The following is a 13,272-nucleotide window of genomic DNA, read 5'->3' on the forward strand; positions in this document are numbered from 1 at the left end:
TCCTGCAATTTATGTACCTGCAGTTTGTTCAAGATTTGGTCATTTCTTCCACTGTAGTATCTAAAATGCAGAACTTCCCACTGTGTCAAAGTAAATTCAAGGTATAATTTGAAAATGGAGTTCAAGTTATTTTTATGCTTTGTAGCACGGCATGGAGATCTTGTTTTCTCCATATTTGATAATAATAAAGCACATATTTTGATCTTAGAGGTCTGTTTTATTTGGTCCAAGGAAACATATATTCTAGATTTAGACTCATAGGCTGCCCAATCTAAAATTTTGATGATAACTTCTATTAGATACACACTTATTTTAATCCTCCTGTTGTGATTTGGAAATGTATTTTGTTAATATTTCAGAATTATTTATTTGTAAAATGAGTATACTTTTTAGAATGTATTATTTTGAATCATAGCCATTATTTGATACAGAGATTTTTTTCTATTGCTTCTATTAACATAACCATCTAACACTTTTGAATTCCACAAACATCATTTTAAGACTAGCTTCAGTAATATAATTTGATAAATCTTAAGACCAAAAAAAGTGCACTTTTATTTCTGTAAAGGAGTCTACCTCTATTCTTTAGAAATGCCTTTCTTTACTTGAAAGCAATACTACTGTTTTCCCATAAATAACATATTTGAATGTTTTGTAACTGTCAAGCTAGTATAGAGAATAGCTCTCTAGTGTGTTAATTACCCATCATTACAGTGTTTTACCATCTTAAGAAAAATTTTTTTTTCATGGCCAGTTTTATGTACAAAAGATTTAAAAACAGAAGGTACAAATTTTAAATTTTAGGTTGTGAAGATTTCTTCTCAAGGTATTTTTATAGTCTACTTTAGTGCTGCCCAACAGAATTTTCTGCAATGATGGAAATATTTTATATCTGTCCAGTATGGTAGTAGCTAACTACATGTAGCTATTGAGCACTTGAAATGTGGCCAGTGCAACTGAAGAACTAGATTTTAAACTATATTTAGTTTTAATTTATTTAAATTTAAATTGCCACATGTGGCTAGTGGCTCATCATATTGGGCAGTTTAGACCTACATAATCAAAATTTTCAATAAGTTAATAATTCCTTGAAATCACCTGAAGTAATACCATTTATTTTAGATCTTAATTTACTTTAACGTGAATATATATTCATGTTACTTTAGAAGAAAGTAAATTTTTCTGAGTGAGCTGATTGTCACATTGTCACATCTATAAACTGGGAATTCCCCATGGCAGGATTACTCTTTGCAAAAAGGAATTCCAAGAGCAGCTTGATTAAGAATTCTTGTTGAAAGCCGGGTGCAGTGGCTCATGCCTGTAATCCCAGCACTTTGGGAGGCTGAGGCAGGTGGATCACCTAAGGTCGGGAGTTCGAGACCAGCCTGACCAACATGGAGAAACCCCATCTCTACTGACAAAACAAAAAAATTAGCCGGGTGTGGTGGCGCATGCCTGTAATCCCAGCTACTCGGGAAGCTGAGGCAGGAGAGTCGCTTGAACTCAGGAGGCGGAGGTTGTGGTGAGCCAAGATCACGCCATTGCACTCCAGCCTGTTCAACAAGAGCGAAACTCCGTTTCAAAAAAAAAAAATGTCGGGCGCGGTGGCCCACGCCTGTAATCCCAGCACTTTGGGAGGCCGAGGAAGGCAGATCACCTGAGGTTGAGAGTTCGAGACCAGCCTGACCAACGTGGAGAAGCCCCGTCTCTACTAAAAATACAAAATTAGCTGGGTGTGGTGGTGCATGCCTATAATCCTAGCTACTTGGGAGGCTGAGGCAGGAGAATCATTTGTACTCGGGAGGTGGAGGTTGCAGTGAGCCAAGATCCTGCCATTGCACTCCAGCCTGAGCAACGAGCAAAACTCCGTCTCAAAAAAAAAAAAAAAGAATTCTTGTTTAAATTTGTATTTCTCAGAAGAGTGCCACTGAGTTTGGGTTTGGGACTAAATTTTCCAGGAAATATTTTTATTAATGAGTGATTCTTTTCCTCCTCTAGTATGTTATTAATATATTTTTGAGCACCTTTAATACTAAGTATTGTGTCAGTACTAACAATAATACAAAATAATGTACATATTGATGAAGCATGCTTGAAAAATAATTGAGATTTTAGCACCATGAAAACACCCAGAAAACTGAAGGTCTTAGTTCTAGTAATAGTTGAAAGTTGCTGTGTGCTAACCTATTCAGAACCAGCAATAAATTATGTGTTGTAAACTTCTGTATCCAGCATCAAATTATAGGTATTATAAATAATAGACTGGCTGCACACAAAGATGAAAATATTCAATTAGAAGCTGCATTACAAGGAAATTTAAATGTTATCCTGTTCATTAAACATCTGAATGCATTTTTTAAAAGATTAATTTTACCAGGATCTGTGGTACATAATAGTAAAGTAGCTCTCTAAATCAAAATAGGCTATTTGGAAAAGAGATCAGAAAATACCTGAATTAAATGGTATTCACTTTATGTATTTTCAAAATTCTTACAGTTTTTTCCACTTTACATATTGCTTTTCAAGTTTGGCACTTAACATCTTACTTAAATATAAAATTATAACATCTTGATATTGTTAGTCTTTTTCATTGACCTATTAAGCACATATATTTTAAAAGAAACCATTTGTATTTCTTGCGAACTATATTCTTTTCTATTTTTCAGGTACGGATTTTCAAATATGCGCTATATTTCTTCGCTAATTAGTGGTGTTGGTATTTTCATGATGGGTGCAGGACTATCTTGGTACCATGGAGTCATGGGATTGCTTCATCCTCAACCAATAGAATCCCTTCTATGGGTAATCCTCTTTTTTTCTCCTCAGTTTTGATGTCTTATGACATAGTGATTGTGTACAGTAGAAGGCCTTTGTCATATTGGTGTTAAAGGAGAATGACATACACCTTCTTGACTGTGTATTGTAGGGTTATATATCTATAGTTTAATTTTTAGAACGTGACTGGACATAACCTCTAAATCCATAAGATTCAATGATGTTGAACAAGATCTCTGTAGGTACCAATTATCAAGCCCTGCTCCTTGGTTAAAATCTTGGGCAGTTCCACTAATTTCTCCAGTTACTGTTGAAGAACAAGAAAACCTCTGTTCACTTTTGGTCCCAAGAATAGTCTCATTTCAGTAATTAAAATATTCAGACCCATGTAATAGTCATAAGTTGGAACTATATTTGAAGTTAAAGCTTCTCTTTTCCCGCATCCTGGGCTTCCTTCAGGTAGGAAGCCTGCACTGGGGGAATGGGAGGATAGCAGGATGATCACCCGTATGATCCCCTCTGGGGCTTCTGCCCCTCTCTCCTATTCCCTGGAAAGTGTTGAGGGTTTGGATAAGGGATAAAAACATACCACTTTACTGACTACAGTGTTATTTTGCATTGGTTTCCTCTGGCCTTTGTAGATGTTTAAAACTGTCTTTTTTTTTCTCATGGGCACTTCTTGGAGATTACCCTGCTTGGCTGCTCTGGCTATGGCTGCCCAAATTGATCACATAGCCTACCCTCTCAGCTTCTGCATCTCATGGTGTGGTTTCCAGACAGTGCTGAAGTTGTCTTGCATTTGGAAAGAATGCCCTTTGAGCAGCTGATCTCCTTATAAAAGACTCCTAGGGACCTGTGTGTTAAAACAGACATCTTTAACACACTTTCTGTGGGAGTGCAGGTTTTTCTCTCAAGCCCAATGATCTACTCTGCTGATACAGCCAATATCAGTTAGTAGGCTTGCGTATGGATGTATCACTCAGGTATGCATCAGACAGTTTGCTGTGATATCCAATATCCCGGGGGACACACATCAAGGCTACTGAACAATCTTAGTAGCTCAACAGCTTTCACCAAAGAAATCTTCATTTTTGGCCTCCTCAATTTCAGCTCTTCTTATGTGGTCTAGAGGATGTGGAGCTAGCATGTAGTCTAGTGGGTAGAGGCCCCAGGTTTGGGCTACCTTCTGTGCAAGGCCTGAATAGATGGTATAACACCTCCTTTTGGAATGTGGGGATACTTGTACCTATTTTCTTCTCTATTTTGAGTTGTAGTCAGAACTAGACAGAATCAATCTGTCTACTTTTTTAATATCCTGTTATATCATGCAAATCTACTTAATAACAAGCACATTAAACTAGGCTTATTTGTTATTCTCTAGTTTTCTATAGTTTTGATTGACTAGTTTCTTACCATAATACATTTCATATAATTAAAACAAACAAATGTGTTTCCTCCATTCTGAAAAGATTTGGCCACTTTATGGGTACTTCATTGTTCTAGCGTTCTTCTAATTTGTATAGTGTCACTTTATAGGGGCAAAGCACTCTCTGTAGTTAGAGATTAGGTAATTAGTTAAATTTTCAGTTGTGTATAAGTTTTAAAACTTCTAAAAGCTCTTGTGTCTTTCAGTAACTAAATGGGTTTCCATTAGACTATGGCCCTTTTTAAAATAGTGTTGGACTAGGTTCAAAGTTTTCAGACCTCTATTTTAGGAAAGCCTAGGGTTCTAAACATTGTTGAAAATTCTGTAGATGTTTGGTTTGAATTTCATTAAAATAAAAAAAATGTGTTGCTAGGTTAACTTTTTTTTTTTGATACACCCCTGTCTAAAGCTTTTTTTACCATCTTTAATTGAAGAGTGTCCTGGGATTGCAGGGAATGTGGTATTACCAAAAAACAAACATTGGTTACTGTTTGTAACTACTTATCTTTCTGAATCAGGATTTTCTTGGTATTAGGCATGGAAGCAAAATCCAGAAGTTACTTGAGTTTGGGTGTGGATCTTACTGTATCTGGTGTCTACCACTCCTGATATCAAATATTGTATTCATATCTCATTGTCCTCCTCATTTGAGTTGTTTCCCATTAGTAACCTTACTGTCTGGCTTAAATTTGAATTCGTGTTTTTGTTTTAGACATTACGGACTTTATATATGAACAATTGTGATTGGAAGTACTTAATTTATGCTTTATTTTAATATTTCTTTTCTAGGCATATTGTATTTTAGCAGGATCATTAGTATCTGAAGGAGGTATGTACTGTCACAAAGTATGTCTCTATTCTTAATTTAGTAATATATATTCAGCTGTCCATTATTATAGTTTGCTAAGTTCTGTTGATTAAAGAAAAGCAAGTGTGGGAATAGGCATCTAAGCTTTCTCTACTTTTAGGGAGTAAAGTCTTTGCATAATGTACTGTGGTTGTTCTGTAATGGATAGCTGTGGGGGGGTGTGTAACTGCGCCCTGCCATGGGATGGCATCCTGGCAAGGCCTCATTTCTCTTTGTGTCCTGAGCTGCTAGGATAGGCTCAAGTAGGTGACTATCAGATAGATGGAAGACAGTAACTGATGTGGCATGAAAGCGCTTAGCAAGCCCACCATATTTGTGGTTATTTTTAAACTATGTGGTGGTAAGAGGTGTTCCTTACAGTTTTCACTTTGCAAGCATTATTCCTTGATTGAACCCACCACCACTACTATCGCTGTTACTTGCCGATTCACTAAAAATTGGATAAATAATTATTTTACTTATTTAAAAGGGAAAGTATGTTTCATTTTTGAGTATCATACCATAATACTCAAAACATTTGAAATGGAGTATAAAAAACATAATTAAACTGAACTTTTAAAATTAGAGTTTAATAATATTCACCAGAAGAATATTATTTACTGGCTCTTGTGAGACAAATATTTCAAAGTTTTTGAAATACACAGCTATAGCAGTATGATGACAGAGAACTGCTAATATCAGTATAAAACTGCCTGATTCACTGCTGTGCTCATGTTTACTTCTGAAACATTGTAACTTTCTATGTATAATGTTCCCTTCATCTATTTTTAAAATTAACATTTTTTATTGACAGATCCTAATTGTATATGTTTATGGGGCCCCTCATCTTTGAAAGTCTATGAAATGGTTATAACACAACCTGCTTCAAAAGATTGGGAGGCTCAGAAATGAATGTGGTTAGTGTGGTGCTGCCAAATAGCAGCTCTTCAATAAACTAAAGCTGTTGTTATTAGTAATTATATTTAATTATTATGGTTTAGAACTATGGGGTTCATTTTATTATAATGATTAATTGATAACAACTAATTAACATAGAACTTGTCCTTATTGCCAACCCTAGTTTTAAAATGTTGTGCTTATTTGTTTATCTTTTGAGATGCCATCTTTAAAGTTTGGAGGCATGAAGTTTCTGTCTTGCTGATATGAATGCTTTTCTTTTAGCAACACTTCTTGTTGCTGTAAATGAACTTCGTAGGAATGCTCGGGCTAAAGGAATGTCATTTTACAAGTATGGTATGTATTTTAGAAACCAAGTGTTTGTTTCACCTCCCTTATTTGCTTAAAATTACTTAGTACTGTTATTGCTTTGTTCCTAATAGAAATGTACAAAATATATCTGAATATCATCCCTGTGTGGCTCTTACATATCCTTCAGCCCTTATTAAAAAGAAATGTAGTATAGAAATTTGAACATGGATACTTTATATTTGGATTTGACTTAAGTGAACTAAGGTATTTCTTTATATGGTTATATAACTTGAGAAAGTAATTTGACTTTATGTATCAGTTATTGTTGACATTTAAGCCAAGAAATTATGTTTGCATTGAGCAAGGTTTTTAAAATCATAATCTCTCATACACTTTTTTATCTTAACTTATATCTTGATTTTAAATGGATACTTATTAAAATGTTACCTGATAGTATCAAGTTAAGATTTTAGAAATTTTCTTGTCTTGTCTCTTCCCCAATGACTAGTAATGGAAAGTCGTGATCCTAGTACAAATGTGATATTATTGGAGGATACTGCTGCAGTCTTGGGAGTTATAATAGCAGCCACTTGCATGGGCCTTACTTCTATAACAGGTAAATATTCCTTAAATTACAGGTGATTTATTTGTCCTACTTAAATAATTCTCTAATATGTGGGAATTTTCTCTTATATCATTGAATAATATTAAACCAACAAATTGTTAAATGTTAATTCCTACTAATCATTGACTTATGTAAGACATTTGGTCAGCAGAAGTATTCAGGTTTATTTGAATTAAAAATGTCTCTAAATTAGAAATAAGGAAGGCTATTTGTAAAGGATTTCTGTAATGCTGTACGTCTTTCTAGCTGTGACTTAAAAAATTGTGCAATCACTCTGAACTTTTTATTTACCTATAAAAGTGTGGATAATATTTACCTTGGTAACCTCTTAGGTTTATTAAGAAAATATGAGAGTTTTAATAAACTCTAAAGTTCCAAATAAATATACATAGGTCCTCAAATAACATTGTTTTGTTCAACTTGATTTTGTTATAACATTGTTGCGAAAAATATCAATTCCTAACTGGAGCTACCATCTCTGTGGAGTTTGCTCATTCTCCTTTTATCTACATAGGTTTTCTTTGGGCACCCCAACTTCCTCCCACATCACAATGCCGTACATGGTCAGTGAATTGGGGTGTCTAAATAGTCCCAATCTGAGTGAGTGTGGGGGTGTGTGTAAGTGTGCCCTGCCATGGGATGGCATCCTGGCCAGGTCTGGTTCCTTCCTGTGTCCTGAACTGCTAGGATAGGCTCAAGTAGATGATAATCAGACAAATGCAGGACAATAACTGATGTATGAAAGCGCTCAGCAAGCCTACATATTTGTGGTTGTTTATTTTTGAATTATGTGGTGATAGGTGTTCCTTACAATTTTCACTTTGCAAACATTTATTCTTTGATTTAACTCACCACCCCTACTATTGCTGATACTCACTGATTCACCAAAAATTGGGTAAATAATTATTTTACATAGTTTTTATTAATTTTTAAAAATGTATATGTAGCCCACATTTATTTCAGTGTTCAATATTAGACATGTTTTGGGTCTTAGAAGTTGAGTGATGTTTTTGTGACCAGAAATATGCCATAGGAACTTAACTCTTTTTTTTTTTTTTTGAGACAGAGTTTTGCTCTTGTTGCCCAGGCTGGAATGCAATGGTGCCATGTCGGCTCACTGCAACCTCCACCTCCCAGGTTCAAGCAATTCTCCTGCCTCAGCCTCCCGAGTAGCTGGGATTACAGGCATGCGCCACCACGCCCGGCTAGTTTTGTATTTTCATTAGAGACGGGGTTTCTCCATATTGGTCAGGCTGATCTCAAACTCCCGACCTCGGGGGTGATCCTCCCACCTTGGCCTCCCAAAGTGCTGGGATTACAGGCATGAGCCACCACGCCCGGCCGGAACTTAACTCTTGTTTGTATCAGTTAGCTTATGGTAAAATTGGTTTTGTTATATGTTGTTCCCTATAAAGTCGCAGTTTCTAAGAACCTATTGACAACATGAATGAGGACTTAACCGTATATTGTGGCTCTTGTTCATTTGTCTTTTTCCACACTTAATGCCAATAATAACTACTGTTGCCTTCCTATTTCTTTAATTCTAAGTTGTTTGTGTCCTTATTTTGGTAGCTAATTAAGTGTTTTGAGGGCCAATAAAATACAAGTAAATGAAAAGACAATTCTATTTTATTTTTATTTTCGAAAACAACCATTTAGCATGAAAAGACTCAATTTATGAAGTTGGAATTCTCTTGGAAAGGAACTTCTTCCATACTTCTCTATTTGTCCTTACATATTTAAAATAATTTTAGGTGACGAGCTTCCACAGTTCTGCAGTGTTTCTTCAAATAGTCTGAAATATGAATACTTCTTTCTCATTCTGAGTGTGCATTTTAATACCAAACTAGCATTCTCTGATGTTTATTGTGATCCAAAATATTTGTAAAAATGTTGATTGTTTTTCTGGTTGACCATATAGTTTTAGACTGTTTTTGAACATAAATTACTAGCAAAATTTTAGGCTTAAGAAAAGTGTGACTTGATGCAGATGTCAACTTTGAATAATTTATTTTCTTTTACATAATAATAGAAACCAATCAAATCAAATTTACAAAAATATGTAATGTGTTTTACATGAATTAAATTTTTCTTAATTAGCTAATTTATTCAAATTAAATTAAATAACATGCCAAGAAATAAAAGTTTTCTTAAAAAAGGTATTTTCTTTCAGCTAATATTCCTGTAATTTCTTTAAGAGTACATGAATGTATATATTTAAATAAAAATAACTCTTCACATTTGGATTTCTAAAGAGCAGTATTTGATTTTGAGCTCTATAATTACAAAACTTCTAATGGATAATGTTTTACAAGCGGATCATTTTTAACACTTAGTATAGATTAACAAGTTTGCTTTTTAGTGTTACAGCTTAGCAAAATATATGTTTTATCAAGCATTAAGAAGAGTTAAATATATTGATGACATTTCATCTTTGGGATAAAAAGACTTGTAGTCATAAAAGCCATGTGTAAAATTTATTATAAAGATTTAAAACGTATTTATTGGTGTCTATTATATAAATATTACCTATACATTCATAGATGATAAATCAGCCTTTCTCATTGGTTCTGGGAGAGAAGCCCTGACAACCTAAGGCAAATATTAGAATCAGAATCACCTGAAGGGCTTGGGGAAACACAGAATGCTGAAACCCACATCCAGAATTTTTTATTCAGGGGCCTGAAATGAGGTCTGAGAATTTGCTTTTCTACCAAGTTTTCAAGTGATGGCTGCTGGTCCAGGAACCACACTTTGAGAAGCACCACCTTGAGGCACCTATGGCATGTAATGAATTAAGTTCTCTCCTTTTTATCTAGAATGATACTAGCTATATATCATCCTTGGTTGGATGAGAAGAGAGTCACCCATATTATTTTCTGTAGGGCTTAATTCTCTTACAGAACATTAGTAGGAAGAAGATACGGAAAAAGGTTTCTTTCAGCTTTTGATTCCACTGTTATTTTGTCTATCTGGTGTAGGAAAAGTGCTATGGATATATCTAAAAGAAATGGACTCTTCATTATGTCATTTTTTTGTATTGGTGTCTCTAATCTAAATGTGCTCAGAAACTTCACATATGTAATGACAGGTACAAGTAAGAGATCTTAATTATGTCACATAGTACTCTTATGAAAGCAAGTTGTAGCATCCTCATTTTGTGGTATATTAAAACTATTAGGAGTTGTTAAAGGAAGTAATTAAAGAAATTAGGAATAAATTTCAAGTGCCTTGATTTACTCGTTCTGGTTCTTTGCTCTCTATAAAGTTCACTGAAATAATATAAACTGTTAATTTACTGATTTTTTTATGTGCTTCATTTAGGCAATCCACTGTATGACAGCCTAGGTTCTTTGGGTGTGGGCACCTTATTAGGCATGGTCTCAGCATTCCTCATCTACACTAACACAGAAGCACTCTTAGGGCGGTCCATCCAGCCAGAACAAGTACAACGGCTCACTGAACTCCTGGAGAATGACCCATCAGTAAGGTCAGCCTTATTCCAGTAATCCTGTTAAGGCTTACAAAAACATATTAAAAAACAGAAATGCCTGGTTTGTAAATACTTCCAGAGGAAGTTTTGGATTCCTCGTCTTCAGAACGTTTTAGTCTGTAACTTTTCAGAATTATAATCCTGGAAGTAAGAAAGAATACACTTAGGAAACTCCTTCTAAGTTTCCTTTTAAATTTTCTATACTTCTAATTTTTAGAGTAAGGAAGAGTCAAGTTGATATAATGAGAATGGAAGTTTGCAAAGTAGTTGTCTTCTTAGTGGAAATACTTAATATGGAACCTGTAGAGTTGCCTTATATTCGCATTGCAATTACAAATTGAATATATTAAATTTAAAAAGATTTTTGTTCATTGGGCAATGATTACCAAATTAAATATAATTTATATTTACTTTGAAAATAGACTTTGTTTTAGCTTATTTTAAGTATTTTTCTTATAATCTTTATCTTTTAAATTATGTAAAACTAAAGAACTGGAGACTTAGGAGATAATCAGCAGAAGAGATACAGAATTCTAATAGTGCTTTTCAGTGAAATTCTAGCAGCATTGTGGTTTTATAATGAAATAAAAGAACAAACCTTTAAAAACCCAGTTTTCTACTAACTCGCTCTATATTTTTTCAAACTTTAAAATAAGATTTTTTTGTGTATTGTACTTGAAATCTTTAAGTTAAATCTTTTTAAAATGACCCGTATATCTGAATTAGTAAAATATATTAATGATTACTAGATTTATATTCTATGCCCTATATGTTTAATCTTGAAAAGTAACTATCTTATTGGAACAAGATTAGAAAATGAGAGATGGGCACAGTGGCACATGCCTATAGTTCCAGCTACTTGGGAAGCTGAGGCAGGAGGATCACTTGAGGCCACGAGTTTGAGGCTAGTGTGCAATGATCATGTCTGTGAATAGCCACTCACTGTACTATATTCTGGGCAGCATAGCAAAACCCTGTCTCAAAAAAAAAAAAAAAAAGATTAGAAGTTGAGCATTATGAAAGTCAGTATTAGAGTTATTAACATAATGTGAGATAATCCAAATTAATATCCTTTCTTTGTGATGTTTTTGTCTGGTTTTGGTATTAAGATAATACTGGCTTCAGAGAATGAGTTGGGAAATGTTCTCTCCTATTTTTTTGGAAGAGTTTGTGAATAATTGGTGTTAGCTTCTTTAAATGGTAGAATTCAAGTATCTGGATATGAGCTTTGCTGTGTGGGTAGTTTTTTGATTAGTAATTATATCTCTTGTTATGGATCTGTTCAGATTGTCTGTTTCTTCTTGACTTAGTTTAAGTAGCTTGTATTCTAGGAATTTGTCTTTTACTTCTAATTTACCTAATTTGTTGGTATACAGCTATTTATAATATTCCTTTGTAATCCATTTTATTTCTTTAGTGTTGGTACAAATGTCTCATCTTTCATTTCTGTAATTTGAATCTCTCCTTTTCTTGGTCAGTGTAGCTAAAGGTTTGTTCATTTTCTTGATCTTTCTAAAGAACCAGCTTTTGGTTTAATTGACTTTCTCTGTTGTTTTTCTATTTTCTTTTTCATGACTTTCTCCTTTAATCTTTATTATTTTTTTCCTTCTGCGTGCTTTCAGTTTAGTTTGCTCTTTTTCCACTGTCTTAAGGTTAAGCTTTTAATTTGATGTTTCTTCTTTTTTAAAATAGACAATTACAGCTACAAATTTTCCTTTAAGTATTGCTTTCTCTGCATTCCACACATTTCCATATATTGTGCCATTTTCATTATCTAATAGTATTTTCTAATTTCTTTTTTTATTCTTTTCAGTTATTTAGGGGAGTATGTCACTTAATTTTTACGTATTTGTGAGTTGCACAGATTTCTTTCCATTATTGATTTATTATTTTGTTCTATTGTGGTCAAAGAATATGTTTTATATTAGTTCTGTCCTTTTAAATTTACCAAGGTTTGTTTTATGGCCTTACATATAGTCTTGGATAATATTCATGTGCACTTGAGAAGAATGTATATTCTGCTGTTGTTGTAGAGTGTTCTGTAGATGTTTGTTAGGTTTAATTGGTTTATAGTGACTTCAATTTCCCTAATTATCTTCTTGCTCTATTGTTCTATCCTTTTTTTTTTTTTTTTTTTAGATGGAGTTTTGTTCTTGTTGCCCAGGCTGGAGTGCAGTGGCACGATCTTGGCTCACTGGAACCTCCGCCTCCCAGATTCAAGTGATTCTCCTGCCTTACCCTCCCAAGTAGCTGGGATTACAGGTGCTCACCACCATGACCAGCTAATTTTTGTATTTTTAGTAGAGACGAGGTTTCACCACTGGCCATGTTGGCCAGGCTGGTCTCAAACTCCTGAGAGACGAGGTTTCATCACTGGCCATGTTGGCCAGGCTGGTCTCAAACTCCTGACCTCAGGTGATCCACCCGCCTCGGTCTCCCAAAGTGCTAGGTGTGAGCACCGTGCCCGGCCTCTGTATCCGTTACTGAAAGTATCGAAGTCTCTAGTTATTGTTGTTGTATTAGCTCTTCCTCCCTTCATTTCTTCTTGGTTTTGGCATCATATATTTTGGTGCTCTGTTGTTGCTACATACATGTTTATAATTTTGTATATATTGTTTAATAAGTAATGTCTAAAAAAGAGCTATAAACTGAAAGACTGGCAAATTCGAAATTTTGTGGAAGAGTGAATATCTGTGGATTCAATTATTGGAAAAAATACGTTAGTAATCCAGAAAATTCATACAATTTTTTTAAACAGTATATTAGTTACCTACTGCTGTGTGACAAATTGGCCCAAAACTTAGTGGTTTAAACAACATATTACCATCTTACAGTTTCTGTGAGTCAGGAATCAGGGCACAGCTTATCTGGGTCTTCGACTTCAGGGTTTCTCATAG

At 34.4% G+C, this 13,272-nt stretch overlaps 1 protein-coding gene across 2 annotated transcripts in view; it reads left to right on the plus strand.

The window, feature by feature from the left end:
* Positions 1–13,272, plus strand: part of SLC30A9 (solute carrier family 30 member 9) — a 99,932-nt gene that overhangs the window by 69,790 nt on the left and 16,870 nt on the right. The window contains exons 11-15 of one of the 2 annotated variants that reach the window (NM_006345.4): positions 2,667–2,802; positions 4,991–5,030; positions 6,231–6,302; positions 6,766–6,873; positions 10,207–10,372. In NM_006345.4, the coding sequence (NP_006336.3) occupies positions 2,667–2,802; positions 4,991–5,030; positions 6,231–6,302; positions 6,766–6,873; positions 10,207–10,372 (522 nt within the window). Of the gene's footprint in view, positions 1–2,666; positions 2,803–4,990; positions 5,031–6,165; positions 6,303–6,765; positions 6,874–10,206; positions 10,373–13,272 lie in introns of those variants that run through there. The other variant, XM_047449525.1, reaches the window with a different exon arrangement.

Source organism: Homo sapiens, chromosome 4, assembly GCF_000001405.40.
Source record: "Homo sapiens chromosome 4, GRCh38.p14 Primary Assembly".
In the NCBI taxonomy this organism is placed as follows: domain Eukaryota; kingdom Metazoa; phylum Chordata; class Mammalia; order Primates; family Hominidae; genus Homo; species Homo sapiens.